General features: G+C 34.7%; 1 protein-coding gene across 2 annotated transcripts, besides 47 other annotated features; it reads left to right on the forward strand.

The window, feature by feature from the left end:
* Positions 1 to 5574: part of a biological region, named in NCBI's record as "alpha fetoprotein (AFP) 5' regulatory region", that runs on past the window's edge. NCBI's record gives its function as "regulatory_interactions: AFP | LOC111832671".
* Positions 870 to 879: a transcriptional cis regulatory region, noted in NCBI's record as "NF-kB site I". NCBI's record gives its function as "mediates regulation by nuclear factor NF-kappa-B" and the evidence as "EXISTENCE:site-directed mutagenesis evidence [ECO:0005528][PMID:28970114]".
* Positions 1215 to 1224: a transcriptional cis regulatory region, noted in NCBI's record as "NF-kB site II". NCBI's record gives its function as "mediates regulation by nuclear factor NF-kappa-B" and the evidence as "EXISTENCE:site-directed mutagenesis evidence [ECO:0005528][PMID:28970114]".
* Positions 1366 to 1766: an enhancer, noted in NCBI's record as "hE2". NCBI's record gives the evidence for it as "EXISTENCE:reporter gene assay evidence [ECO:0000049][PMID:15028291]".
* Positions 1430 to 1451: an enhancer, noted in NCBI's record as "HNF-3 site A1". NCBI's record gives its function as "FOXA-responsive enhancer" and the evidence as "EXISTENCE:reporter gene assay evidence [ECO:0000049][PMID:15144905]".
* Positions 1430 to 1794: an enhancer, noted in NCBI's record as "domain A liver enhancer". NCBI's record gives the evidence for it as "EXISTENCE:reporter gene assay evidence [ECO:0000049][PMID:15144905]".
* Positions 1454 to 1472: an enhancer, noted in NCBI's record as "HNF-1 site A2". NCBI's record gives its function as "HNF1-responsive enhancer" and the evidence as "EXISTENCE:reporter gene assay evidence [ECO:0000049][PMID:15144905]".
* Positions 1503 to 1530: an enhancer, noted in NCBI's record as "HNF-4 site A3". NCBI's record gives its function as "HNF4-responsive enhancer" and the evidence as "EXISTENCE:reporter gene assay evidence [ECO:0000049][PMID:15144905]".
* Positions 1632 to 1650: a protein binding site, noted in NCBI's record as "C/EBP A1 site-7". NCBI's record gives the evidence for it as "EXISTENCE:protein binding evidence [ECO:0000024][PMID:15144905, PMID:17188819]".
* Positions 1632 to 1652: an enhancer, noted in NCBI's record as "C/EBP site A4 or A1 site-7". NCBI's record gives its function as "CCAAT/enhancer binding protein-responsive enhancer" and the evidence as "EXISTENCE:reporter gene assay evidence [ECO:0000049][PMID:15144905, PMID:17188819]".
* Positions 1762 to 1794: an enhancer, noted in NCBI's record as "C/EBP site A7 or A2 site-6". NCBI's record gives its function as "CCAAT/enhancer binding protein-responsive enhancer" and the evidence as "EXISTENCE:reporter gene assay evidence [ECO:0000049][PMID:15144905, PMID:17188819]".
* Positions 1763 to 1779: a protein binding site, noted in NCBI's record as "C/EBP A2 site-6". NCBI's record gives the evidence for it as "EXISTENCE:protein binding evidence [ECO:0000024][PMID:15144905, PMID:17188819]".
* Positions 1806 to 2216: an enhancer, noted in NCBI's record as "-3.7 kb to -3.3 kb; HindIII/HaeII fragment". NCBI's record gives the evidence for it as "EXISTENCE:reporter gene assay evidence [ECO:0000049][PMID:2435718]".
* Positions 1806 to 5574: a promoter, noted in NCBI's record as "3.7 kb promoter fragment". NCBI's record gives the evidence for it as "EXISTENCE:reporter gene assay evidence [ECO:0000049][PMID:2435718]".
* Positions 2017 to 2099: an enhancer, noted in NCBI's record as "54 nt core enhancer". NCBI's record gives the evidence for it as "EXISTENCE:reporter gene assay evidence [ECO:0000049][PMID:2468995]".
* Positions 2052 to 2082: a protein binding site, noted in NCBI's record as "HNF1 AT-motif". NCBI's record gives the evidence for it as "EXISTENCE:protein binding evidence [ECO:0000024][PMID:14522900]".
* Positions 2052 to 2082: a protein binding site, noted in NCBI's record as "ING1 AT-motif". NCBI's record gives the evidence for it as "EXISTENCE:protein binding evidence [ECO:0000024][PMID:14522900]".
* Positions 2058 to 2081: an enhancer, noted in NCBI's record as "HNF-1 site B1; C/EBP B1 site-5". NCBI's record gives its function as "HNF1 and CEBPA-responsive enhancer" and the evidence as "EXISTENCE:reporter gene assay evidence [ECO:0000049][PMID:15144905, PMID:17188819]".
* Positions 2058 to 2250: an enhancer, noted in NCBI's record as "domain B liver enhancer". NCBI's record gives the evidence for it as "EXISTENCE:reporter gene assay evidence [ECO:0000049][PMID:15144905]".
* Positions 2060 to 2074: a protein binding site, noted in NCBI's record as "ATBF1 footprint site". NCBI's record gives its function as "antagonizes induction by HNF1A" and the evidence as "EXISTENCE:protein binding evidence [ECO:0000024][PMID:1719379, PMID:7507206]".
* Positions 2065 to 2076: a protein binding site, noted in NCBI's record as "C/EBP B1 site-5". NCBI's record gives the evidence for it as "EXISTENCE:protein binding evidence [ECO:0000024][PMID:17188819]".
* Positions 2101 to 2117: a protein binding site, noted in NCBI's record as "C/EBP B1 site-4". NCBI's record gives the evidence for it as "EXISTENCE:protein binding evidence [ECO:0000024][PMID:15144905, PMID:17188819]".
* Positions 2101 to 2120: an enhancer, noted in NCBI's record as "C/EBP site B3 or B1 site-4". NCBI's record gives its function as "CCAAT/enhancer binding protein-responsive enhancer" and the evidence as "EXISTENCE:reporter gene assay evidence [ECO:0000049][PMID:15144905, PMID:17188819]".
* Positions 2228 to 2246: a protein binding site, noted in NCBI's record as "C/EBP B2 site-3". NCBI's record gives the evidence for it as "EXISTENCE:protein binding evidence [ECO:0000024][PMID:15144905, PMID:17188819]".
* Positions 2228 to 2250: an enhancer, noted in NCBI's record as "C/EBP site B4 or B2 site-3". NCBI's record gives its function as "CCAAT/enhancer binding protein-responsive enhancer" and the evidence as "EXISTENCE:reporter gene assay evidence [ECO:0000049][PMID:15144905, PMID:17188819]".
* Positions 3725 to 4131: a silencer, noted in NCBI's record as "Sd region; -1822 to -1414". NCBI's record gives the evidence for it as "EXISTENCE:reporter gene assay evidence [ECO:0000049][PMID:1719374]".
* Positions 3738 to 3754: a dispersed repeat, noted in NCBI's record as "17-1". NCBI's record gives the evidence for it as "COORDINATES:motif similarity evidence [ECO:0000028][PMID:1719374]".
* Positions 3755 to 3785: a silencer, noted in NCBI's record as "31 nt silencer fragment". NCBI's record gives the evidence for it as "EXISTENCE:reporter gene assay evidence [ECO:0000049][PMID:1719374]".
* Positions 3761 to 3777: a dispersed repeat, noted in NCBI's record as "17-2". NCBI's record gives the evidence for it as "COORDINATES:motif similarity evidence [ECO:0000028][PMID:1719374]".
* Positions 3775 to 3791: a dispersed repeat, noted in NCBI's record as "17-3". NCBI's record gives the evidence for it as "COORDINATES:motif similarity evidence [ECO:0000028][PMID:1719374]".
* Positions 3803 to 3819: a dispersed repeat, noted in NCBI's record as "17-4". NCBI's record gives the evidence for it as "EXISTENCE:motif similarity evidence [ECO:0000028][PMID:1719374]".
* Positions 5146 to 5377: a transcriptional cis regulatory region, noted in NCBI's record as "Sp region; -400 to -169". NCBI's record gives its function as "negative regulation of promoter activity" and the evidence as "EXISTENCE:reporter gene assay evidence [ECO:0000049][PMID:1719374]".
* Positions 5229 to 5245: a dispersed repeat, noted in NCBI's record as "17-5". NCBI's record gives the evidence for it as "EXISTENCE:motif similarity evidence [ECO:0000028][PMID:1719374]".
* Positions 5292 to 5574: a promoter, noted in NCBI's record as "0.3 kb promoter; -230/+29; SspI/HindIII fragment". NCBI's record gives the evidence for it as "EXISTENCE:reporter gene assay evidence [ECO:0000049][PMID:7541712]".
* Positions 5368 to 5388: an enhancer, noted in NCBI's record as "GRE". NCBI's record gives its function as "mediates induction by dexamethasone" and the evidence as "EXISTENCE:reporter gene assay evidence [ECO:0000049][PMID:11549270]".
* Positions 5378 to 5574: a promoter, noted in NCBI's record as "-169/+29 promoter fragment". NCBI's record gives the evidence for it as "EXISTENCE:reporter gene assay evidence [ECO:0000049][PMID:2462558]".
* Positions 5378 to 5574: an enhancer, noted in NCBI's record as "-169/+29". NCBI's record gives its function as "functions as enhancer of SV40 promoter; stimulated by dexemethasone" and the evidence as "EXISTENCE:reporter gene assay evidence [ECO:0000049][PMID:2462558]".
* Positions 5415 to 5437: an enhancer, noted in NCBI's record as "promoter HNF1 site; C/EBP site-2". NCBI's record gives its function as "enhancer when multimerized" and the evidence as "EXISTENCE:reporter gene assay evidence [ECO:0000049][PMID:15144905, PMID:17188819]".
* Positions 5420 to 5434: a protein binding site, noted in NCBI's record as "-119 HNF1 site; binding and promoter activity increased with A allele at rs587776861". NCBI's record gives its function as "positive regulation of promoter activity" and the evidence as "EXISTENCE:protein binding evidence [ECO:0000024][PMID:7684942]".
* Positions 5420 to 5435: a protein binding site, noted in NCBI's record as "C/EBP site-2". NCBI's record gives the evidence for it as "EXISTENCE:protein binding evidence [ECO:0000024][PMID:17188819]".
* Positions 5478 to 5505: a protein binding site, noted in NCBI's record as "-5C>A and -65C>T HNF1 sites; increased binding with mutations at -55 and -65". NCBI's record gives the evidence for it as "EXISTENCE:protein binding evidence [ECO:0000024][PMID:14699509]".
* Positions 5519 to 5525: a TATA box. NCBI's record gives the evidence for it as "COORDINATES:motif similarity evidence [ECO:0000028][PMID:2580830]".
* Positions 5529 to 5543: a protein binding site, noted in NCBI's record as "C/EBP site-1". NCBI's record gives the evidence for it as "EXISTENCE:protein binding evidence [ECO:0000024][PMID:17188819]".
* On the forward strand, positions 5548 to 25501 carry AFP (alpha fetoprotein). Of its 2 annotated transcripts, NM_001354717.2 has the most exons (16): positions 5548 to 5674; positions 6487 to 6538; positions 7501 to 7633; positions 9929 to 9986; positions 10129 to 10140; positions 11623 to 11755; positions 12674 to 12771; positions 14320 to 14449; positions 16789 to 17003; positions 18662 to 18794; positions 19363 to 19460; positions 19942 to 20080; positions 21728 to 21951; positions 23092 to 23224; positions 24563 to 24617; positions 24958 to 25501. In NM_001354717.2, exons 5-15 carry the CDS (start codon positions 10133 to 10135, stop codon positions 24605 to 24607), a joined length of 1356 nt encoding a protein of 451 aa, NP_001341646.2. In that variant the 5' UTR covers positions 5548 to 5674; positions 6487 to 6538; positions 7501 to 7633; positions 9929 to 9986; positions 10129 to 10132; the 3' UTR covers positions 24608 to 24617; positions 24958 to 25501. The 2 variants fall into 2 exon arrangements, with proteins under 2 accessions (NP_001341646.2, NP_001125.1); NM_001134.3 differs by having other exon boundaries at positions 9929 to 10140.
* Positions 19237 to 20436: an enhancer, noted in NCBI's record as "P300/CBP strongly-dependent group 1 enhancer chr4:74315627-74316826 (GRCh37/hg19 assembly coordinates)". NCBI's record gives its function as "activates an origin of replication core promoter dependent on BRD2, BRD4, P300/CBP, MED14 and CDK7 cofactors, with strong dependence on P300/CBP, by STARR-seq in HCT116 cells {active_cell/tissue: HCT116}" and the evidence as "EXISTENCE:reporter gene assay evidence [ECO:0000049][PMID:35650434]".
* Positions 19237 to 20609: a biological region, named in NCBI's record as "P300/CBP strongly-dependent group 1 enhancer GRCh37_chr4:74315627-74316826".
* Positions 19608 to 20108: an enhancer, noted in NCBI's record as "H3K27ac hESC enhancer chr4:74315998-74316498 (GRCh37/hg19 assembly coordinates)". NCBI's record gives its function as "activates a minimal SCP1, AML or CMV promoter by ChIP-STARR-seq in naive H9 embryonic stem cells {active_cell/tissue: H9 hESC(naive)}" and the evidence as "EXISTENCE:reporter gene assay evidence [ECO:0000049][PMID:30033119]".
* Positions 20109 to 20609: an enhancer, noted in NCBI's record as "H3K27ac hESC enhancer chr4:74316499-74316999 (GRCh37/hg19 assembly coordinates)". NCBI's record gives its function as "activates a minimal SCP1, AML or CMV promoter by ChIP-STARR-seq in naive H9 embryonic stem cells {active_cell/tissue: H9 hESC(naive)}" and the evidence as "EXISTENCE:reporter gene assay evidence [ECO:0000049][PMID:30033119]".

The following is a 25747-nucleotide window of genomic DNA, read 5'->3' on the forward strand; positions in this document are numbered from 1 at the left end:
AAAGCAGTAATAGGAGGGGAATCTAGAAGCTGGGTCTGGATGGGAAGACATTAAGAAAGGAGAGGGAGAGAGAGCAAGCAAGAAGGAGGTCGGTCAGGGCTCTACAAGAAGAGAGTCAGGTGGTATTGATACGAGTGGAAAAGATCTTTTTATGTTTTATGCCTAGTTCCTTGATACAAACTTGTGGTGGGGGGTTCTTGAAAAAGTGATTGGGGACTATCTGATCTGGGGTTTAGGGCAGGGAAGAAACAGCATGTAAAGGAGAAAAGACAGAGCATTTGTTAAAGAGAATTTAACAGCAAGAGGAAATAAGAACCAATGATACCAAGGATAAACGCAGTCCTTAACTCCCCTATCACTGAATTCTTAGAAATATGGGGGTAGGGGTGGTGGTGGTAATTCTGTTTTCTCCCCATAGGTGAGATAAGCATTGGGTTAAATGTGCTTTCTCTCTCTCCCTCTCCTTTCTTAAGAATTAAGGGACAGACTATGGGCTGGAGGACTTTGAGGATGTCTGTCTCATAACACTTGGGTTGTATCTGTTCTATGGGGCTTGTTTTAAGCTTGGCAACTTGCAACAGGGTTCACTGACTTTCTCCCCAGGCCCAAGGTACTGTCCTCTTTTCATATCTGTTTTGGGGCCTCTGGGGCTTGAATATCTGAGAAAATATAAACATTTCAATAATGTTCTGTGGTGAGATGAGTATGAGAGATGTGTCATTCATTTGTATCAATGAATGAATGAGGACAATTAGTGTATAAATCCTTAGTACAACAATCTGAGGGTAGGGGTGGTACTATTCAATTTCTATTTATAAAGATACTTATTTCTATTTATTTATGCTTGTGACAAATGTTTTGTTCGGGACCACAGGAATCACAAAGATGAGTCTTTGAATTTAAGAAGTTAATGGTCCAGGAATAATTACATAGCTTACAAATGACTATGATATACCATCAAACAAGAGGTTCCATGAGAAAATAATCTGAAAGGTTTAATAAGTTGTCAAAGGTGAGAGGGCTCTTCTCTAGCTAGAGACTAATCAGAAATACATTCAGGGATAATTATTTGAATAGACCTTAAGGGTTGGGTACATTTTGTTCAAGCATTGATGGAGAAGGAGAGTGAATATTTGAAAACATTTTCAACTAACCAACCACCCAATCCAACAAACAAAAAATGAAAAGAATCTCAGAAACAGTGAGATAAGAGAAGGAATTTTCTCACAACCCACACGTATAGCTCAACTGCTCTGAAGAAGTATATATCTAATATTTAACACTAACATCATGCTAATAATGATAATAATTACTGTCATTTTTTAATGTCTATAAGTACCAGGCATTTAGAAGATATTATTCCATTTATATATCAAAATAAACTTGAGGGGATAGATCATTTTCATGATATATGAGAAAAATTAAAAATCAGATTGAATTATTTGCCTGTCATACAGCTAATAATTGACCATAAGACAATTAGATTTAAATTAGTTTTGAATCTTTCTAATACCAAAGTTCAGTTTACTGTTCCATGTTGCTTCTGAGTGGCTTCACAGACTTATGAAAAAGTAAACGGAATCAGAATTACATCAATGCAAAAGCATTGCTGTGAACTCTGTACTTAGGACTAAACTTTGAGCAATAACACATATAGATTGAGGATTGTTTGCTGTTAGTATACAAACTCTGGTTCAAAGCTCCTCTTTATTGCTTGTCTTGGAAAATTTGCTGTTCTTCATGGTTTCTCTTTTCACTGCTATCTATTTTTCTCAACCACTCACATGGCTACAATAACTGTCTGCAAGCTTATGATTCCCAAATATCTATCTCTAGCCTCAATCTTGTTCCAGAAGATAAAAAGTAGTATTCAAATGCACATCAACGTCTCCACTTGGAGGGCTTAAAGACGTTTCAACATACAAACCGGGGAGTTTTGCCTGGAATGTTTCCTAAAATGTGTCCTGTAGCACATAGGGTCCTCTTGTTCCTTAAAATCTAATTACTTTTAGCCCAGTGCTCATCCCACCTATGGGGAGATGAGAGTGAAAAGGGAGCCTGATTAATAATTACACTAAGTCAATAGGCATAGAGCCAGGACTGTTTGGGTAAACTGGTCACTTTATCTTAAACTAAATATATCCAAAACTGAACATGTACTTAGTTACTAAGTCTTTGACTTTATCTCATTCATACCACTCAGCTTTATCCAGGCCACTTATTTGACAGTATTATTGCGAAAACTTCCTAACTGGTCTCCTTATCATAGTCTTATCCCCTTTTGAAACAAAAGAGACAGTTTCAAAATACAAATATGATTTTTATTAGCTCCCTTTTGTTGTCTATAATAGTCCCAGAAGGAGTTATAAACTCCATTTAAAAAGTCTTTGAGATGTGGCCCTTGCCAACTTTGCCAGGAATTCCCAATATCTAGTATTTTCTACTATTAAACTTTGTGCCTCTTCAAAACTGCATTTTCTCTCATTCCCTAAGTGTGCATTGTTTTCCCTTACCGGTTGGTTTTTCCACCACCTTTTACATTTTCCTGGAACACTATACCCTCCCTCTTCATTTGGCCCACCTCTAATTTTCTTTCAGATCTCCATGAAGATGTTACTTCCTCCAGGAAGCCTTATCTGACCCCTCCAAAGATGTCATGAGTTCCTCTTTTCATTCTACTAATCACAGCATCCATCACACCATGTTGTGATTACTGATACTATTGTCTGTTTCTCTGATTAGGCAGTAAGCTCAACAAGAGCTACATGGTGCCTGTCTCTTGTTGCTGATTATTCCCATCCAAAAACAGTGCCTGGAATGCAGACTTAACATTTTATTGAATGAATAAATAAAACCCCATCTATCGAGTGCTACTTTGTGCAAGACCCGGTTCTGAGGCATTTATATTTATTGATTTATTTAATTCTCATTTAACCATGAAGGAGGTACTATCACTATCCTTATTTTATAGTTGATAAAGATAAAGCCCAGAGAAATGAATTAACTCACCCAAAGTCATGTAGCTAAGTGACAGGGCAAAAATTCAAACCAGTTCCCCAACTTTACGTGATTAATACTGTGCTATACTGCCTCTCTGATCATATGGCATGGAATGCAGACATCTGCTCCGTAAGGCAGAATATGGAAGGAGATTGGAGGATGACACAAAACCAGCATAATATCAGAGGAAAAGTCCAAACAGGACCTGAACTGATAGAAAAGTTGTTACTCCTGGTGTAGTCGCATCGACATCTTGATGAACTGGTGGCTGACACAACATACATTGGCTTGATGTGTACATATTATTTGTAGTTGTGTGTGTATTTTTATATATATATTTGTAATATTGAAATAGTCATAATTTACTAAAGGCCTACCATTTGCCAGGCATTTTTACATTTGTCCCCTCTAATCTTTTGATGAGATGATCAGATTGGATTACTTGGCCTTGAAGATGATATATCTATATCTACATCTATATCTATATCTATATCTATATCTATATCTATATATGTATATCAGAAAAGCTGAAATATGTTTTGTAAAGTTATAAAGATTTCAGACTTTATAGAATCTGGGATTTGCCAAATGTAACCCCTTTCTCTACATTAAACCCATGTTGGAACAAATACATTTATTATTCATTCATCAAATGTTGCTGAGTCCTGGCTATGAACCAGACACTGTGAAAGCCTTTGGGATATTTTGCCCATGCTTGGGCAAGCTTATATAGTTTGCTTCATAAAACTCTATTTCAGTTCTTCATAACTAATACTTCATGACTATTGCTTTTCAGGTATTCCTTCATAACAAATACTTTGGCTTTCATATATTTGAGTAAAGTCCCCCTTGAGGAAGAGTAGAAGAACTGCACTTTGTAAATACTATCCTGGAATCCAAACGGATAGACAAGGATGGTGCTACCTCTTTCTGGAGAGTACGTGAGCAAGGCCTGTTTTGTTAACATGTTCCTTAGGAGACAAAACTTAGGAGAGACACGCATAGCAGAAAATGGACAAAAACTAACAAATGAATGGGAATTGTACTTGATTAGCATTGAAGACCTTGTTTATACTATGATAAATGTTTGTATTTGCTGGAAGTGCTACTGACGGTAAACCCTTTTTGTTTAAATGTGTGCCCTAGTAGCTTGCAGTATGATCTATTTTTTAAGTACTGTACTTAGCTTATTTAAAAATTTTATGTTTAAAATTGCATACTGCTCTTTCATTGAAGAAGTTTTGAGAGAGAGATAGAATTAAATTCACTTATCTTACCATCTAGAGAAACCCAATGTTAAAACTTTGTTGTCCATTATTTCTGTCTTTTATTCAACATTTTTTTTAGAGGGTGGGAGGAATACAGAGGAGGTACAATGATACACAAATGAGAGCACTCTCCATGTATTGTTTTGTCCTGTTTTTCAGTTAACAATATATTATGAGCATATTTCCATTTCATTAAATATTCTTCCACAAAGTTATTTTGATGGCTGTATATCACCCTACTTTATGAATGTACCATATTAATTTATTTCCTGGTGTGGGTTATTTGATTTTATAATCTTACCTTTAGAATAATGAAACACCTGTGAAGCTTTAGAAAATACTGGTGCCTGGGTCTCAACTCCACAGATTCTGATTTAACTGGTCTGGGTTACAGACTAGGCATTGGGAATTCAAAAAGTTCCCCCAGTGATTCTAATGTGTAGCCAAGATCGGGAACCCTTGTAGACAGGGATGATAGGAGGTGAGCCACTCTTAGCATCCATCATTTAGTATTAACATCATCATCTTGAGTTGCTAAGTGAATGATGCACCTGACCCACTTTATAAAGACACATGTGCAAATAAAATTATTATAGGACTTGGTTTATTAGGGCTTGTGCTCTAAGTTTTCTATGTTAAGCCATACATCGCATACTAAATACTTTAAAATGTACCTTATTGACATACATATTAAGTGAAAAGTGTTTCTGAGCTAAACAATGACAGCATAATTATCAAGCAATGATAATTTGAAATGAATTTATTATTCTGCAACTTAGGGACAAGTCATCTCTCTGAATTTTTTGTACTTTGAGAGTATTTGTTATATTTGCAAGATGAAGAGTCTGAATTGGTCAGACAATGTCTTGTGTGCCTGGCATATGATAGGCATTTAATAGTTTTAAAGAATTAATGTATTTAGATGAATTGCATACCAAATCTGCTGTCTTTTCTTTATGGCTTCATTAACTTAATTTGAGAGAAATTAATTATTCTGCAACTTAGGGACAAGTCATCTCTTTGAATATTCTGTAGTTTGAGGAGAATATTTGTTATATTTGCAAAATAAAATAAGTTTGCAAGTTTTTTTTTTCTGCCCCAAAGAGCTCTGTGTCCTTGAACATAAAATACAAATAACCGCTATGCTGTTAATTATTGGCAAATGTCCCATTTTCAACCTAAGGAAATACCATAAAGTAACAGATATACCAACAAAAGGTTACTAGTTAACAGGCATTGCCTGAAAAGAGTATAAAAGAATTTCAGCATGATTTTCCATATTGTGCTTCCACCACTGCCAATAACAAAATAACTAGCAACCATGAAGTGGGTGGAATCAATTTTTTTAATTTTCCTACTAAATTTTACTGAATCCAGAACACTGCATAGAAATGAATATGGAATAGGTGAGATATTTTGTGTTTTTCTTGTCTTTTCTCTATATCAAAATTTTTTAAATTATAAAATTTGCATTAATTTGTCTTGATTTATTATTCATATTTATTATTCCACATGGAGAAAAAATATTTAACTGATGGATATATTTAAATGAAAGATAAACTTGTAACTTTACAAGAGGTTTACAAAGTTATAGCAGTGTTTAATGGATGAATGGTTTGTATGTTTCATGTTGAATTAATTTTTACACTTCAATGGTATGCATATTAACTTTGAAAAATTATATATATACACATATATGTACATATATATGAATATAAATAAAATTTTATATGTGAAGAAGCCAGAATTATGCTCCTTCACATAACTCCCTCAGACTAGTAAAATAGATAAAATCTTTGTTTTTAATACAGAAAAATGGGTCATTATTTGATGGTCTGAAGAAGAAATATTGTGACTGGGATATGAATGGCAAACCGTAGTATAACTATGTTCAAAAGAATGCCTGAAATATATTTTTAACCATTTGACTTTCAGGACAGTTACAGCACTACAGTACAGGGAAAAACCAAACAACTGGAAGACAAAATCTGGATTTTAGTGATAGGTCTACTATAAATTATGCTTGTTAACTTCATTCCTTAGTTTCCTAGTTTTCTTTTCCTCAAGTATAAAATTAAGATGCTTAGGTTATCCCTAATGTTCTTTTAATTCTGAAACTGTACAGTTCTAACTGAAACACAAACATTCATATGTAACAATGATTACTTTCTTGGTTGCAGTTGAAAACACGTTTCATGAAGTTTATTTTGCTTTCCAGCTTCCATATTGGATTCTTACCAATGTACTGCAGAGATAAGTTTAGCTGACCTGTAAGTTTTGCTTATATAAATGTACTTTAAATGTGTAAAGCAAGGATAAGTAAATACTTAAATAAAATTGGGTACCCCTGTGAGCTCTTAAAAGCACAAAAGCAATTTGGACAATTTCAAGAAAAGTTACTCATACTGAATATCAACTTGATGTTGAAGAGGTTAAACTGTTGACTAATGTCTTCGACATTGACCTTTTGATTCCTTGAAATCTCATGAGTCAAACCAAATCAGATTTTAGAAACTGAAGATTAGTGTCTGATCAGTGACAGCCATATACTAATTCAGGAATTTTTCTCATCAGTACCAACAGGGTGATATTATAATGTTTTCTTTTCTGTATACTATTTAAATCTTAGCAGCAAACCATAGGTGATAAAATATTCTATTTGCTGTTATTTGTGGAGAGTATGTTAGTCTCTTGGATGTCTTTCCATTCCACATTTTAAAAATTTCTAACAAAGAATTTAAAGTAGTGTGTTGCTGTTACTCCTTGCACATCCAAACCTGCATAAGGATTGCTTTGAGTCAATCCATGAGCACTGTAGTCTTGGGTTTTAGACCTTGATCATACTGGGAATAGACACTGTTAGAGGTCTGTCTAATTACCAATTTTTTTTTGCTTAAATTTAAAAGTAACCATAAAGAATATAGATACCCTCAATTATGGGTACATTACAGTAGATGGATGGTCACAGAAGGAGAAACCACTCTTATGGGAAATCCACTTATTTTAGCCTTTAACATCTATATGTATATTTATGGCAAAAGAAAACAAGAAAAAGACTAAAGTTTCTTCTCAGATGACCTGGAAGCTAATTTTACATAATTTTACAAATCAAATGTCTAAACAGATTACAACATAAATAGAAAACAAAACAAACAAATGAAAAACTATACTTGAGAAAAATAAGCTTGCTGCAGGTCTGTTCCTTAAGGATTCACACGTATTTTTGTTTCAGGGCTACCATATTTTTTGCCCAGTTTGTTCAAGAAGCCACTTACAAGGAAGTAAGCAAAATGGTGAAAGATGCATTGACTGCAATTGAGAAACCCACTGGAGATGAACAGTCTTCAGGGTGTTTAGAAAACCAGGTGAGTGAATAATTTTAAAAAAGCATTGTGATATTTGACAAAAATTTAGCATGCTGAAGAGAAGATACAAAAATAGCAGTGAAAAATGCATTTATATATTTGAAGAGCTATTGTATGAAAGAGGGATTAGATTCATTCTGAATTGCTAAAGAGGGCAGAAGAGAACAATAGGTAGTTATTATAAAGAGACCATATAAATATGATGACTGAGAGCTAAGGTTCTGAAATAAGATTATCTTGATGACTATGGGCATATTAACTTTTTTGAGCTTCAGTTTTCTTATCTGTAAAATAAGGGATGATAATAGCTCCCATTTCATAGTTAGCATGGAAATTGATATAACAGCAATAGTAGCTAACTTTTATTATACACACAATGTGACTGGCATTATTCTAGGGAGCATAATGTGTATATTGATAATAAAAATATTTTATGACATAGGGGATAGATAGCACTGATGAATCAGAATGGTTGTCCAGTGAGTCAAGAGATGCTGGCTCGGGCTTCTGGGCAGGATATCAGCTTTGCTTACCTATATTTATTTATTAAACATTTAAAATAATCCTTGAAGATAGATGCTAATCTTCCAACTGAGGAAGCTGAGGCTCAGAGAATTTAAGTAACTTTCTTATGGGAACCACCAAATGGCAGAGCCAGGATTTGAACTAGACCATCTGGCTTAAAATTGACAGTCTTAGTAGCTTCATTACACTATAACTATAGTGAATGTAAGATGCATAGCACATCGTTAGGGTTGCCAGGTTTAGCAAACAACAACAAAACATAATACCCAGTTCAATCTGAATTTTAGATAAACACTAAATACTTTTCTTAGTATAAGGATATTTCATTGTAGAAGCTCAACAAATAATATTTATTATTTATTTTATCTCAACATAGAAACAAACTTGATAATGATTAGAACTCTCCAATTATAAAACAACATGCCCAGAGAATACTCTGTTATGGTGGGGTTAATTAGGTGGCTGAAAGACAATGTACCTGGAATATCATAGAAGAGATGCTCCTTTAAGGATATAGTTTAAGTTCTTTCCAACTTTGAAATTTATGAATTGACAAAAATTTCTGTTTTGCATCTCTATTTTTGTCTTGTTCTGATAATCTTTTCAAAATGTGTATAAAAAAACAAGAATACATTATCTATTGCAACTTTACAACCAATTAGAGGTTCAAGGTAATGTTACAGATCGCTGATTTATTCTTGTAAATTCAAAGGTATGTCTTTTAAATGAGGATTGGGAATTAGAAATCTTACGTAAGCCTTCCAGGATTCTCTAAATATTACTGTAGCAGCTATAAAAGCTACATAAAAGTTCCCTCAGATACATGAAACACATGTATTCCTCAGATGCTTTCTGTGGAATATTGATGCTGTCATCTGAGTTTGGTAAGGGTAAGTCACAGAGGAGGAAACACATACATTTTAAAACATTTTAGCTAAATATGTAATTGTGGCCAAGAAAAGTGTTTTTTTAAAAAATAATTATTTCATTTCAAAATCATTTTTATTTATAATTGAAAATAATATGCAGTTTTTTATTGTCTTGTAAGGATGGCATGTAAAATGAGCATTTATGTCTGAAATGTGGTATGTCTGTGTGTGTGTGTGTATATGTATATATATGTATGTATATACCATAATATATACATATGTATTTGCAATTCCAAAAGTTACATCTTTAATGAGAATCATGAAAATATTATTTTGCTCAGTTTCTTTTTTTATTTAAATTTAAATTTAAAGTTCTGGTGTACACGGGCAGGATGAGCAGGTCTGTTACATAGGTAAACACGTGGCATGGTGGTTTGCTGCACCTACCAACCTGTTGCCTGGGTATTAAGCCCAGCGTGCATTACCTATTTTTCCTAATGCTCTCCCTCCCTGCACTCCACTCCCTGACAGGCCCCAGTGTGTGCTGTTTCCCTCCCTGTGTCCATGAAACATGGTTTATATATTTATAAAAGTTTATATATCCTAGTCCAAATTTTTGATAACACAAAAAGGAAAAATAAAATAATTCAAAATTGGGAAAGAGAAACAAAAGATTGCATGGCTTTTTTCCTTTTATTGTTTGGACATTAAAGTCTCATTTTCCATAAGGCAGCAAAGAAATCTATTTCATCAGGCTGAAACAAAATACATTAGAATTTGTATGGAAAATTTTTCAGAATCTATAGTTCTGATTTTAGACATTAGAAAATGTTTCATGTGTCTTATAGATTTTTAAAGCAAAGTTAGTTGTCTTTCTCCAAACATAAAATATTTCTTATAGCTACCTGCCTTTCTGGAAGAACTTTGCCATGAGAAAGAAATTTTGGAGAAGTACGGACATTCAGACTGCTGCAGCCAAAGTGAAGAGGGAAGACATAACTGTTTTCTTGCACACAAAAAGCCCACTCCAGCATCGATCCCACTTTTCCAAGTTCCAGAACCTGTCACAAGCTGTGAAGCATATGAAGAAGACAGGGAGACATTCATGAACAAGTAAGGATCCAGTTTAAAGGTAGATGCAAACCTCAGAAACACAGCAATGGCAAGCCTAATTTAGTATTTTTGCAATGTACTCATGTACTCCCAGTAAGAGGTATAATGTTTCTTTGGTGTTGTGTCTGCTGAGGTCCCAGACAAGGTAATTAGGAGAGCAACATTCAATGTAACTTGGTTTCCATAGCACGCTAGATGTAGTACAAACCACAGGACAAACCTACCAGAGGTTCCATTAGTCCCTTGAGAGATATACACCTTTTTTTTTTCTTTTTACCCATTCTACTCTCAATTTTACCTTGTTCAAGAATATATTAGTATTGCACCAAATTGATGCTTTCCAGAGCCATATATTGGTGTTTTGTGTTCACCTAATTGCCTAGAAATAAAAGTTAGAGATCCAAGCATGGTCAAGCATGGTCAAGATACACAGACATGGCAAAGGTTTACTGAACACTTAGGATGTTGTGGGGCCGGGCGCGGTGGCTCACGCTTGTAATCCCAGCACTTTGGGAGGCCGAGGCGGGCGGATCACGAGGTCAGGAGATCGAGACCATCCTGGCTAACATGGTGAAACCCCGTCTCTACTAAAAATACAAAAAAAATTAGCCGGGCGTGATGGTGGGCGCCTGTAGTCCCAGCTACTCGGGAGGCTGAGGCAGGAGAATGGCGTGAACCCTGGAGGCGGAGCTTGCAGTGAGCCGAGATTGCGCCACTGCACTCCCGCCGGGGCCACAGAGCGAGACTCCGTCTCAAAAAAAAAAAAAAAAAAAGGATGTTGTGGAAACATGTCTGCTTGCACAGAGGATCAGATTAACACTCACAAACAAACTTTGAAGCCTCCTTCTCCTCTTCCTCTTCATTCTTCTTCTTTCCCCCATTTTGTTGATAGGAAATTGAAGGTTGGAAGGCTAAAACAACTGGCTAAGGGCACACAGCTAGTACATTTGACCCCAGGTTCTCTGTTGGAGAAGCCTGTACGTAACTCTTCATCACTTCTGCCTTCCATGTTACTTCCTAAACCAGATAAATAGAGAGATTGCCCTTAGAACATCTCTGCTATGGCGACTATCCAGGTGCATAACCCCATTCTGCACTGACAAGGGATAAAATGTCCATCTTTCTGTTGCACTTAGCAGAAGTCTGGCTTTGCTGATCCCTGAAACATATCTGAGTAGGCTTATTGAAAAGGACCTTTTAATAAGAATCATGGTTAGCATGTCTGCCTATTTTCTTCTCATAATAGAATCTGGTACCATCTGTCAGATATTTTTCCCCCCAGGATCTTTAGTGAGGAAAATTTTGACAACATGTGGAAAAAATATGATGATTTTCCCCTTAGGAACACAGTAAAGACAAAGTCAAATGCATTTTGTTGTTGTTGTTTTTGAATCTTTAAATAAATCCCAGTGTCCAGTTCCAAGCAGTAGTAGTCCTATTTTTAGGTGTTTATAAATCTTCTAGCTCTATTTTATTTCACAGATTCATTTATGAGATAGCAAGAAGGCATCCCTTCCTGTATGCACCTACAATTCTTCTTTGGGCTGCTCGCTATGACAAAATAATTCCATCTTGCTGCAAAGCTGAAAATGCAGTTGAATGCTTCCAAACAAAGGTATCATATTTGCGTGGATATCTGAACCAGTACTGTAGTCTATGACTCATTAAAACAAAACAAAGTTAAAAATGAAAACGTGCTTAATTGTGGAGAGTATCGTTTTTGGAATAGAGAAATAGTTCAGCAGTCTGATATTCTTCGAGTGAACAAAACTGGATTTGCTGGTTTTTATTATCTATTCATTAAGTCAACAATAATTTTATTATTAAGGAAGTGAGTTTGATGGGATAAAGAAGGAAAGACAGACAGACAGAAAGAGAGAAAGAGAGGGTGCTATAAATGGGAAGGAGTAAGTGAAAGAAAACGGAGAAAAGGAGGAGCAGAGGAGAGAGAAAAAATGAAGAACTATGATAAATGCTTTATACTTACTGTTTTTTTAAACCTTAGAACAAATTTGAGGTGTAAGTATTTTTGTCCTTTAACAAACTAGGAAAGAGGTTTAGAGAAGAAAATTTTTTTTAGGTTTAGAGAGGTAGAATAATATCCACCATTAACTACTTGCTACCAGCAGTCCTATAACAAAAATTTCCTGAGAACTGACTACTCTCAGTGTCAAGCCGTGATACAATCGTATTTTTTGTAACTGAGAAGACACTTAAGAAATTAGCAGGCTTCAATTTGTCTTTAAGCTGTTTAAAGGTACAGTTGTTCATTTATGATCCCCAGTATAAAAGTTATGTTTTTGTTTCAAGGTACTTTGAGTAAATTTGTCTGGCACAGATGCATATAAACTAACCCAAAAGAATAAATGAGTCAATAATATTCTGCGATAATGTATGACATTTATAATTTTTAGTAAAAAACATATTTTATGGAATTTCATTTTACCTATACTTGTTGTTTTTCTAAATATTAGAGCTTGTAAAGAAAATGTTAGTATATGCTTTCATGACATTTTGTTTCCTCTACATCTAGGCAGCAACAGTTACAAAAGAATTAAGAGAAAGCAGCTTGTTAAATCAACATGCATGTGCAGTAATGAAAAATTTTGGGACCCGAACTTTCCAAGCCATGTAAGTTCAAGTTCTATCTAGGGAAGAGGGTGAGAGCTACAGAACTACCATTTTGCAATTTGGGTTCGTTTTTTTAATTGTTGCTGTTTTAGAGAATGAAGACCCCTTTGTGACCCCTTTGATGAGGGCTAATGGGATTAGAACCATGAACTCTTAGGATCAGAAGGAAGCTAACGGATAAGTCAGTTTAACACTTACTAAAGCCTAGCTGAGATAATACATAGAAAAGACTTTTAAAGTTTATGTTATTTACCTGTTCTTTAAGACACTTAAGTTCTGGCCTGCCATCAAATTATACCTCATCACTAGACCATATTTTTCTAGCTCTTCTACAAAATAAGTCAGCCTTCACTGAGTGTCATTTAAAACTTTTGCCTTAACAAGAAATTCTTTATATTAATTGTGTTTCTTAATCTTCTATAAGGCTCTTTATAGCATTTATTGCTTCCCATAAAAATATTCCTTTGAGGCAATAATATTAGAATCTAGTGTCAGGAGAAAAGAACATTTTAAATTATATAACTTCTTTAAAGTACTCATCAACTCTTTTATGATAAAACATTTCTAGTATATGAAAATATCTGAGCTGCTAATCGAATAGTAGTAAGTATATATATTCAGAGTTTATTTGATTGCTGTTTGGTTAAATAACACGTTAAAGCATATTGTAGACAATGGAAATCTAGAATGAAGTTTTTAGTAATAGAATTAGTTCTAAAGACTGAAATTTCTTCTTGTAAGAAGTCAGATTTATGCCTTAACTACCCTCCAACTCAATTAGAAATTGAAAGATTAATTTATGACCTACTTTAAAAAAATTTATCTTAGTAATAAAATAGAAATTGAGATAGTATTATAATACCCTTATCATTTGCTATCCATAAGTGAAAGCTAAGTGGTCTAAATTTATAGAGAAGATCCATCTTTATCAGAAGCAGGAGTAACACTATTTTCTCTAGGAGCAATGGTTTTACAAAGACAACTCTTAAAATTTAATGAAATATGCAGAGGAAACCAGAATTTTTATTTCTTACTTCTTTTTTGGCCACATTACTCTCTTGGCACACTGGTATGCCTGAAATGTTTAATCTGCTCCACTTTCTTGTCCCATTTCATTGATTTGCACATACGCCTCCTTTCCTGGATTCTCAGAAGTATTTTTTACCCCAGTAAAAAATGGTTCTCATTTTCATGGAATTTTCCATTTCTTAATTGTTTATCCTTTTAAAGTTTTATGTCCACTCAATACAAATGCTCAGCATAAGGGTTGAATGGCAAAAATAATTTACCTTAATTCTTAAGACATGTTTTAGGAAAAGATAAATTATTTCTAAACCATTTGTGGGGCCAGCTCACAGTTTACAGAGCTACCACCTTGAAAGATATGGCTGGAATCAAGCCTTAAAACATGTTTCCTTTTCTTTTTAAACAACAAGGGAATTTCAGTCATTTCTCTTTGAAACTTCTACTGTAGTAATACTCTATAAATTCTATTTTATTTTGACAGATAACCAAGAAATTAATTTCTAATTTCTTTTTTTTCCCTAGAACTGTTACTAAACTGAGTCAGAAGTTTACCAAAGTTAATTTTACTGAAATCCAGAAACTAGTCCTGGATGTGGCCCATGTACATGAGCACTGTTGCAGAGGAGATGTGCTGGATTGTCTGCAGGATGGGGTGAAGAGTCTTGCTTCTTAAAATAGAAGATTTTCACTCCCTTTTCTTTCTTTTTGTCTCATTCTAAAAGGGAGAAGGTTGTTTGACTTGAATTGGTTACAGAGTATGTAAACTAGGTGACTCCTTAAATTTGCAGAATTCTCGGTAGTAAAACTTAAACCATCTTTTGTTGATCCTGGCTTTCACTTTAGCTATACCCCTTTTTGTGAAACCAAGGCTCATCTATTTCTTACTTCTAAAAAAACCGTGGGAACTTCTCAGAAGGCTTCTCCATAGTTACTTGGAGGACGGGAGGAAACTAAGGTTTAATGTATTTATTTTTTCATTCATTTATTCTTTCATTTGACAAATAAATATATATTAAATACTTTCTATCTGCTAGCCACTATGACAGACACTTGTTTTAAAAGCACAGGCTGACCTCAAGGAATTCACAGTCTGATAGGAGAGATAAGACAGTGACCTCCTTGGAGTTAGGGACTGCCTTGGTTTACTGTTATCTCCATAGCACAATGCCTGGCACATGGAAGGCATTCTATAATAGTTTGTTAAATGAACGAATGCAATAAAAATTGCACAAGTAACTGTCCTACCAGGTAAAAAGCTAGCCTTGCCAAAGACAAGTGTGAATAAAGTGGTCTCGGAGAATTAGAAAACAAAATTTAAAAAACCCAGCAACAGTTTCTTGAGTGTGCTCTAGTCAGTGGTGGTTTAAGCAGTGTGGCATTGGCTTATTTTGGCTAACCCTAGACTTCCTAGATTTTACAAGAGAGGACTGTTGACCCTCAGATTACTCTGTCTCTGTGGGCTCCATGACATACCAAAGAGATTAAAATCCAAGGAGCTTAAAAATTACTGCTCTTAGGTACTCAAATGGCTTGATAACCAGCACTGGACTATGGTTTCCAGAAGGCTGAAAGTGAAGATAAAATGCTCATTTCAGCCCATCCGATGGCAATTCAGTGAGATGCTTGAAGTAAGCAAGAAGCCAAGGCTGCAGAGGAGGCCTGAGAGTGACAGTCCCTGAGGAGCTGGGGAAGAAGTGGGAGGAGGCAGCCTGGCAGGCGACTGTACTACTTTACTTGTTTTTCTTCTAAAAATATGGCATACTAGGAAAACCAACAAGAAGTATTTTGTTTTTCTTTGAGCTCAGTTTTCCCATTTTGAACGGACAATTTTACTGTTTCTCGTTGTCATTTTTAAAAAGTTAATTTTTTCAATTTTTGGAGCTCATAACCACCCTTTTCCTTTAAAGTGGAAACATTAATTTCAGCATGATATGTAAGTTGGATTTTGATAGCTGAATAATGGGTTCTAATTATCTTTGCTGAGAATGTACAGAATTTTCAGTCCCATGACAGGTATATATGTAAGCTCTGCCTCTCTCTGGCCACTTAGGTGCATTGCCATTTTATTATCTATAGACTGCCCTCTGAAGGTCATAGTCAGTCACTGCAGTATGTTCTGATAAAGATGATTATCATTCTTACGGAATTTCTCGTGGAGCAGAAAGTTTGCTCTCCATGTTATGATAAAGATGATTATCATTCTTACGGAATTTCTCGTGGAGCAGAAAGTTTGCTCTCCATGTTATGATACCAGTTGCAAGTGTTGTTTAGGGGCAAATTTGAATGCTAATAGAAATACATATAGCAACATGCATCCTATTTTATTTGAGCACATTTCCCTCTTATTTGTAAAGGTTTTCAATTAAAATAACATAGGATTTAGCTTACAACTATGGAAAGAAGAATTGAACAAACAGGTAAGTGGAAAGGAATGAGAAAAGGCAAAAGTGGGGAGAAAGCACTAAAACGGGAGACAAGTTAAAATTTCTTTTTAATTGATAGGTCACGTTCTCACTCTATTTGCCTTTAAGGGAAGAAAGCAATCAAGTTAATATGTTTTCCTTCATTGTATAGTATGTAACTACGGACACTATTAGAGGAGGGATTTGTGTAGCACTTAGGACATTATACTTGATAATTTCCAAGGGTCTTTCTAGATTTAAAAGTCTGATTCTAACGTAGTAATAAAAATAAAGGCCCAATTTTCTCTTTAATATTGGCTGAAGATATTACTCTATTATTGCATTAAAATTAAACATTCACACATTGTTTGCACTGCTAAATAAAATTATGTAATTTCTTCTTCTTTCCTTCCTCCTTCCTCCATCCCTCTCTATTTCCCTTTCCCCTTCCTTCTTTCCTGGCCTTTTTTCCTTCTTTCTTTGTTCCCTTCTCCCTCCCTCCCCTTTCTTCCTTTTTCTAAAGCTGGCTTTGAGATCCTTTATTAAAGAATAAATCTTTAAAACTTATACTTTATTTTCTCTGTTGCAGGAAAAAATCATGTCCTACATATGTTCTCAACAAGACACTCTGTCAAACAAAATAACAGAATGCTGCAAACTGACCACGCTGGAACGTGGTCAATGTATAATTCATGCAGAAAATGATGAAAAACCTGAAGGTCTATCTCCAAATCTAAACAGGTTTTTAGGAGATAGAGATTTTAACCAATTTTCTTCAGGGGAAAAAAATATCTTCTTGGCAAGGTAACACACTCTGTAAATGCATGTTCATGCAAGTAAAAATGATTATGTGGCTGACAGATTTGCGTTGTTGAAATGGAGAGTGATGATTATGGTTTTTGAGTTCAATATGTGAGGATATTTGGCTAGAATGTTCTGAGCCAAAATAGATTTCAGTAGATAACCAGGGAATAAGTAATGGGATTTGGTGTTTAACGGTGAAGCGTTCACCACTGTGACTCATTAACTGCTTTGCTTATGAAGCTGAATTTTATTTCACATCAATTTCTCTGGAATCAGAAGCATTGTCATCCTGTAAAGATTACTCATATCAAGGCCACCATTGAACTCTCAAATAGGATATGGATATTTTTGTAATAAGAAGAGTTCATGATTAAGAATGAACTCTTGCTACGCATGTTAAAAAAAAAACTTTTCTCCAAAAGATAACACAAGAGATAATGCTAGGTAGAAGAACTTTTATAGGAACAGCTTATTGGCTATGTATTAAATACATGTTTTGTATTTTTTAAGAAAATCAAAACATGTTTAGAGACATTTGCAGTACAGTAGTTTGTTTTAATACAACTGATAGGTCACGTTCTCACTCTATTTGCCTTTAAGGGAAGAAAGCAATCAAGTTAATACGTTTTCCTTCATTGTATAGTATGTAACTATGGACACTATTAGAGGAGGGATTTGTGTAGCACTTAGGACATTATACTTGATAATTTCCAAGGGTCTTTCTAGATTTAAAAGTCTGATTCTAACGTAGTAATAAAAATAAAGGCCCAATTTTCTCTTTAATATTGCCTGAAGATATTACTCTATTATTGCATTAAAATTAAACATTCACACATTGTTTGCACTGCTAAATAAAATTATGTAAGCTAGAATAAAGTTCAGATTTAGGAGACACATAGTGACAACTGATTGGTGACAGAACTAATCCTATAATCTGGGAATACGGTTAGTAAAGTCAAGAATTACCTTTAAGTTTACACATCCATGCACATCTAAATCTAATTGTTTAATAGAAGCAGTTCTTCAGTTGCAAAGGTTCTTTGCAGTAGAATTTTCTCAGCCAGGAATGATCTTCCCCCAGATATTTGCATGGCTTCTTTCACTTAGCTGATCTCTGTTCTGATATCAGCTGCCTAGAGAGAATTTTCTTGACCACATTCAAAGTTAGTGGCCTCTCCACCTTGGGTATCATCCTTTTTTCTCTTTTTCATCTTTATTTATTTTCATTGATTTATCGCTAACTGAAATGAGATGGCCTATTTCTTGTTTATTTGTTCTGCCTCCCTATAATGTGTGCTTTTCAGAGGGCAGGTATTTATCTTAGACATCATTGAGTCCGTTCTGCTTAAAGCAATGCTAGCAAAGAGTGGACACTGGAAAAATATTTGTTGAATAAATGAATATAAAGTCCGTAATTGAAAAGTCAAATTGAGAGATGCAGGAGAAAACAAAAAGCCATTTTACAGGACAATTTGAAGGATCACAGTCTGTATTAACAGTTTTGCCATTCATATAATTCAAATCATATTTGATTTTCAGGTTTATTTATTTGAATTTAACTTCCACATGCCATATTATATAGGAATAACTGGAGAAGTGATGGCTCCTTTTGTCTCTTAGTTCCAATAACTTGAAATATTTTTCTCCACATATTTCAGTTTTGTTCATGAATATTCAAGAAGACATCCTCAGCTTGCTGTCTCAGTAATTCTAAGAGTTGCTAAAGGATACCAGGAGTTATTGGAGAAGTGTTTCCAGACTGAAAACCCTCTTGAATGCCAAGATAAAGGAGTAAGTTGCTCTAGAATTTTAGGGGAGTATGAAAAACTGGATTGATATCATCTGTTAAAAATGCTGTTTGTTTGAAAGCCTCTAGTTTTCAACTAGTTGTTAGCCAGTTATATCTATTTGTCTAGATATTAAGCTGTTATTAACTAGCAGTCAGCAGCTAGTGGCTTGCTTTAGAAACAAAAATGTTAATTGCTTCTCAGCCTTTTGGCTAAGATCAAGTGTAGAAATAAAAATGTTAACCAAAAGTCCTTTGATCCACAAATAAAGGTAGTATTCATTATTCATTTTTGGATAACTTCAGAAAGGCAAGAATTTGGTACAGAAAGAACTGTAACCATTTATCCAAAGATTGAGTTTTGCCATTAAATGATTTTGTGATTTATAAAATGTTAAACTTAATCTCCCCAAAATCCATTTTCTGTAATTATCAAAATTTACACTTTACCATATTTAATATTTAAACATCTCTGATTGGTTTTATAATAGTATATAATATTGATCAATTTTATATACAAAGTTATGCATCCAAGAAAAGAAAAATGTATATGTAATAATTCTTCATTTTCAGGAAGAAGAATTACAGAAATACATCCAGGAGAGCCAAGCATTGGCAAAGCGAAGCTGCGGCCTCTTCCAGAAACTAGGAGAATATTACTTACAAAATGCGTATGTTTTTGTAAACAGTATTTTTAGTGAATTAAAATTATTAAAGAGAATGTAGCCTTCCCCATTCTCCTCCTTTGGAAGCAACAAGAATGACCTGTGAGGTCTGATCTGTGGTATTGACTTTAAGTTCCCCATACTGTGCAAATTTTTGCAGTAAAGATATCCATTCTGTCATAGTCTGTCCGAGTTAAAGCACCAAAAGATCACAGTTAAAATCAATGAAGCTCCGAGGTTGAGAATACAAGTCAGGCTTCCTCCTGGAGTTTGCTTTTTCATTGTGATATGCTTCTATAATAGGAGTACAGGGAGTGGTTGTTAGAGTAAATGCATCTCAAAAGTTGGTTCAAATACCATGTAGATGAAACAAACGAGCTGACCTCATGTCTTCTGGCATGAGAGTAGAGAGTCTGTGAGAAGAAGCAAGGCGGCTAAAAACTCATGAATGACTCAGCAGGACTTAGTTAAAAAATGCTTCTTTCAGGTTTCTCGTTGCTTACACAAAGAAAGCCCCCCAGCTGACCTCGTCGGAGCTGATGGCCATCACCAGAAAAATGGCAGCCACAGCAGCCACTTGTTGCCAACTCAGTGAGGACAAACTATTGGCCTGTGGCGAGGGAGCGGTGAGTGTCTGCTTGGTTTGGTCCCATCTCATTTCTGCCCTGTTTGACTTGAAATAGCCTCATAATTCCCCTCTAGGGAAGACGGTAAAAACCAATGTAGAGATGGCCTTAGGAGGCTTGTTTGATTAGTCACGGTTGGAGGGGTGTGAGAACCCAGCTCTGGATGGCTGGCATGTGGCCATGCTTCCTATTCCTCCAGGGTGGCTGGTGGAAGTTCAGCCAGTTTAGTCAACAATATCTGAGCCAACTTTATATATCGGAAAGACAGAACGACCAACATGTAACTCATAATTCATAACAATTCATAATTCATAACTTCAAATCATAATTTCTGCTTTTTGTTCATATACTTACTTTGATGTTTTAAAAAAGCTTTATCTTTGATTGATTAAAATTAGTCATGCTATTTTAGCCATATTTATATTTTCACCTTTTGTAACATGATATTATTATTATGACATCAGGAATAATTGGTTCCCTTTCGCAGGGTATAGGGTACAGCACAGGATAAGTATTATGTTCTGAATAGTAAAATGACTTTCGAGTCAGTAATGCCAATATTCTTTACTTCCTAATGTCACTAGTATCATACATAAGATTACAGGATGAATTAAAAATATTTTTCCTATAAAGTCATAATTGCAAACAAAATTGTCTATTTTATCCTTTTTCCTCTTTTTCATAATGGGGAGTTATTTGCTGTTAGTCTTCATGTCATACATTTTTTCCCCAAAGGTTAAGAGTAAAAGGAGAGTTCTTGTGATTAAATGTCACCTCAATTGTTTGTTGAATTTCCCATGCTGGGAGGCTGCAGGGATGCAGGATGGTGTAATGGTTCAGGAGTGTATGTTCCGGAGGCCACCAGCCAACAACCGCATTCTACTTTCACTATTCTTTAGTTGTATCACAGTGGGAAAGCAACTTATGTCATTAAGCTTGAGTTTTTTCATCTGACATTTGAGAATACAAATTATACCACCCTCATACGACAGCTGTTTTAAACAAGATAATCTGCATAACTCACACAGCACTAGTCTGACAGATAAAGTGCACACAAAACATATTATTTCTTATTACAAGTTATTACTAGGTGATTAAGAAATATCTCCTAAGTAGGCAAGGTAGCAAGATTCTACATTAGGAAAGTCTTAAAAACCCACAAAATTGCTCTTACTTCTTTTCAATTAGGATGATATATTAGCTGCAAGTGTATACATGTGTATATGTATGTGAATAAAAGGGGTAAGTTTGTGCTATTCTTACCTTCAGATAGTGATTATCAAAAGAAAAATGGAAAGTTCAACTAAATACACATGGGAAACATAAAGGCAGAGACATTTTTGTCCTTTAGAAGTGTGTATGTAACTGGAAGCATGTTTCAAATAGCTGACACAAATAGCTAAATGACTATCCTCAACATCACATATGGACCATCTGCTACTACTTGCTAAGGCTTAGCCCAAACAAATGGGTAAATCCTGGAATTTACAATATAATGTCACATGATCCTACATAGCAAATTTTCCTGTAATATTAATTATAAATTGCTGGGCATTAGAAATTATTGCAGCAGTTTTCTGAAAAACTGAACCAACTTTGTGACTAATGCCCAATCTCCTTACTTTTTTTTCTCATTCTCCTAACCAGGCTGACATTATTATCGGACACTTATGTATCAGACATGAAATGACTCCAGTAAACCCTGGTGTTGGCCAGTGCTGCACTTCTTCATATGCCAACAGGAGGCCATGCTTCAGCAGCTTGGTGGTGGATGAAACATATGTCCCTCCTGCATTCTCTGATGACAAGTTCATTTTCCATAAGGATCTGTGCCAAGCTCAGGGTGTAGCGCTGCAAACAATGAAGCAAGAGTAAGAAACTGTTACTTGCTAGCATGGAAAAGAATGACAACCCCAAAGAGTAACTGAGACTTCTACCTCGCTCACCTAACACTATTGGGCTCACTAACAGAGCGTTACTCCCAAAACACTTAAAATGCCTTTGAAAATAGTTTTGTCTCAGTGTCTTCACAGTCTCATTGGGGAAGCAGGTCTAGAAAAATTGACGAGGGTGGACAATTTCCTGTTTGTAAAAATAATCTCTGTTGTAACTGTTATTGTGATATGTATTTGGGGGTTGAGGAAAAGTGGGCAATCTATTCTGAGGAATTAGAGTGTATCTTTGCAGCAAATTTGGGTACTTCCATTCCAAGCACAGGAAACACATCATTGAATCTTTTTTTACACTATTTACACTTTGAAGAGAATAACCATCTTATTTAATTCAACCATGCAGTTTGGGTGTTAAGAAATGACATGTACATTTCAGTTCATTGTGGGAGCTCTTTTGTAATGGTGATGGTCATGCAAGTCAATGGAGCTTATGTTCTTCAAACTCCCATGCATTTTAATCCTCACTTGTTTTGTAAATAGTCTTCCTTCATTGGAAAACCCATTCTTCTCTTTTTTCCTCTATCACAGTCTGAGGTATGTTTCACAGTATGATAAGAATGTTGCCTGTTCTGGCAAGCTTTTTCTATTGCTCTGGTCTACTTTCTATTGCTCTGGTCTAAGTCCAACATGAAAGGCTTGCTAAGTGAGCAGTGCAGGCAATTAGTGCTGCCAGTGCCCAGATAAGGGGTGTGATAACTGGATGGGCAGGATTCGGAGATCTGGGTCTTTGAGTGTAGATAAGACACAGTTAAGAAGAGCGGACAGGAAAGGATATTCCTGGGGGATGAGGGGAGATTGCCTTCCACTACACATAAGTATGGTCAAGTATGAAATAGTGTTTTATCCACAACCTGCACAACTCCAGGCTGGTGGAACACTTGGCATGCTTTCAGCCTCAATCTTTCTACTGAAAGTACTAGACAAGGTGTGTGTGGTCAGTCTGGTGATAGGTTGATGGAGTAAGGGTTTAGGCTCTGAAAATTCTCTACTAGGAAGGCTGTAGAAAAATAGCATTGCATAACAGACTTCTCTTGTATTTTGTTTTGTTTTAAATCACAGGTTTCTCATTAACCTTGTGAAGCAAAAGCCACAAATAACAGAGGAACAACTTGAGGCTGTCATTGCAGATTTCTCAGGCCTGTTGGAGAAATGCTGCCAAGGCCAGGAACAGGAAGTCTGCTTTGCTGAAGAGGTACATGCAGCTCATTTCATACTCAAAATACTTGCTATGGAATTTTCTGTAGTGGATAATGAAAGGAAGACCCTACAAATTTATAACTTTAAAATATTTTCAGAGAGATTTAAATTTCATTGAGAAGCAGATTGAGGGATTCTATAAGATTTAAAAAATAATCACATTTTCTTGCTTAATATTAGGAAAATTTATAATATTAAAATATATTAATAGAATTAGTAATTTTAATTTATTTCCTAGTAGAGAAACCCATAAAGTGAATGTGTAAATAATTGACGGTAATTTAGATAGTTTCTGGCCTAAAATTGATCAATTCAGCTAAATGGATTAAAGGATTTAATAGCAAATTAATTGTGCAAACAGAGTATTAGGAGTCTATTTGTAGAAAATGTTTTTGAACTCATTTAGAAGCTTGCTTTTGTACATCAACAGAGTAGTATTTAGGAGTTATTTTAATTACATAGTAATTTTAGCTGGATAATTAGCCAGATTTTCTTTAACCAGGGGATTCTACCTAACATTTAAAAAAATTACCTTTTTTCAGCTTTATTGAGGCATGATTGACAAATACAAATTATATATGTTTAGGGTGAACATGTGATGTTTCAATATATTTATACATTGTGAAATGATTATCACAATCAAGATAATTGGCTAAATTTTACAAATCTTTAGTTTGTATTGCTACATATATTTGAATATAGCAACACTATACTTTAAAAAGATATTCTATAACTTAGCGTTTTTGTCAATTTTACCTTTCTCACCATGTAAAATCCAAAGACAGATATATTTAGAAATGTAGAGTTTTTCTATAAATAATATAATTAGATGCATTTGAGTGTGTGCACTTACCAGTATATGTGTGTGTTTTTGGTGGGATCAGGTAGGGTGGGACATAGATAACCAAATTAGATAAAACTGGTGAAACAGATTTGATGTGAAGCATTTCTGAAAAACATGACACAAGAAGATTAATGTTCTCTAATCTGAGAAGACATTTATTTAGATATAGAGAACATGAACAAATAGTAGCAGTGCTTTATCTGCAAACCTTTTAATTTCTAATAACTTGTAATTTGTAGAGGAAGGGGAAAGATTGAGAATACGCATTGATTTGGAGATTGTTATAGAAGAAAACTGTTGATGTGAAAGAATATTGTTTTCTCCCTGGCTTTTACTATCCCAGGTTGTTGGCATCAGAGATGTGTTTCTTCATTTTTAACTTAGTTAATCTACAAACCTATGAATTCACCCCGGATTGTAGAGTGTTAACTGTATGATTGGTATAATAATCCATTTCTTTATCTGATTATGTTTATTCTTAATTTTCAGGGACAAAAACTGATTTCAAAAACTCGTGCTGCTTTGGGAGTTTAAATTACTTCAGGTAACAAAACATTCAGACAAGCCTGAATACAATGTTGTTTCTCCAGAAATATCAATCCATAATGAGATAGATCATGAGGAGTGCCATTAATTCTCTTAAAAATACATGGAATTCAAAAAAAAGTTTATTTTAAAAACACTTGAACAAAATTACGCACACAATGTTAAATTAGTGGCTCAACTATGCAAAATCCTTTTTGGTTATTTAAAAGACTTCAACAAATGCTATCAGAAGACTTTCCTACGTATCCAATATTTCTCTGATATAAAATAATAGAACCAGTTACTTACTGCACCTATTAGTTTAATTAGTATTTAATATATTTTTGCTCATATTGCAGGGGAAGAGAAGACAAAACGAGTCTTTCATTCGGTGTGAACTTTTCTCTTTAATTTTAACTGATTTAACACTTTTTGTGAATTAATGAAATGATAAAGACTTTTATGTGAGATTTCCTTATCACAGAAATAAAATATCTCCAAATGTTTCCTTTTCCAAGTTTGCTTATTTATGAAAAGTTATCGATAATTTCTTTAGTTTTGTATACCATTGTCTGAAGCAGATTCTGTTAAAATAGCATTAAGTGTTGGTTATTATAGGAGATTAAAGCTATCCAAGGATGGATTTACAGCACTAGATCACTTGGTGAACTGAAAAATGTTCCCAAGTTAAACACTATTTGATGCTACCAGGGCATTTTGTTTATTAAATGACCATCACTGAAGTATTCTAACAGATAATCTGGAGATGAGAAAAGAAATTATTATTCTTCTATGGGATCTAAGAAAATTTAACATCTACTTTTTTTCTCAATCTTGTTCAGTTCTCTATTCACAGACATTTTAAAACATAAGAATATTACAGTTTTGATTGAATATAATTAATGTTTTCATCAATTAAATTTTTATTCCACAAATGTTTATTAAGCCTTCACTGAGTTCCAGGCCTTGGGCTGGGTACAGTCACTGTTCTCCAGTCGCTTCAGTAGAGAAGGAAGCAACACAATAATGATGCCTCAGATTATGACCACAAGGAGTTGACAACAAATTGTTGAGGGAACGAAAGGGTGGGTGACATCAGTTCTGACTGGAAAAGGTGCCATAAATGTTTAAGAAGAGTCTTAGAAAATG

The sequence above is a fragment of the Homo sapiens genome, chromosome 4, assembly GCF_000001405.40.
Source record: "Homo sapiens chromosome 4, GRCh38.p14 Primary Assembly".
Classification (NCBI taxonomy): domain Eukaryota; kingdom Metazoa; phylum Chordata; class Mammalia; order Primates; family Hominidae; genus Homo; species Homo sapiens.

Coding starts and splice junctions, on each gene's coding strand:
- AFP (NM_001134.3), top strand. CDS start 5,590: ATGAAGTGGGTGGAATCAATTTTTTTAATTTTCCTACTAAATTTTACT. Junction 18,795..19,362: donor TTGAATGCCAAGATAAAGGA/GTAAGTTGCTCT, acceptor CTTCATTTTCAG/GAAGAAGAATTACAGAAATA. Junction 20,081..21,727: donor TGGCCTGTGGCGAGGGAGCG/GTGAGTGTCTGC, acceptor TCTCCTAACCAG/GCTGACATTATTATCGGACA.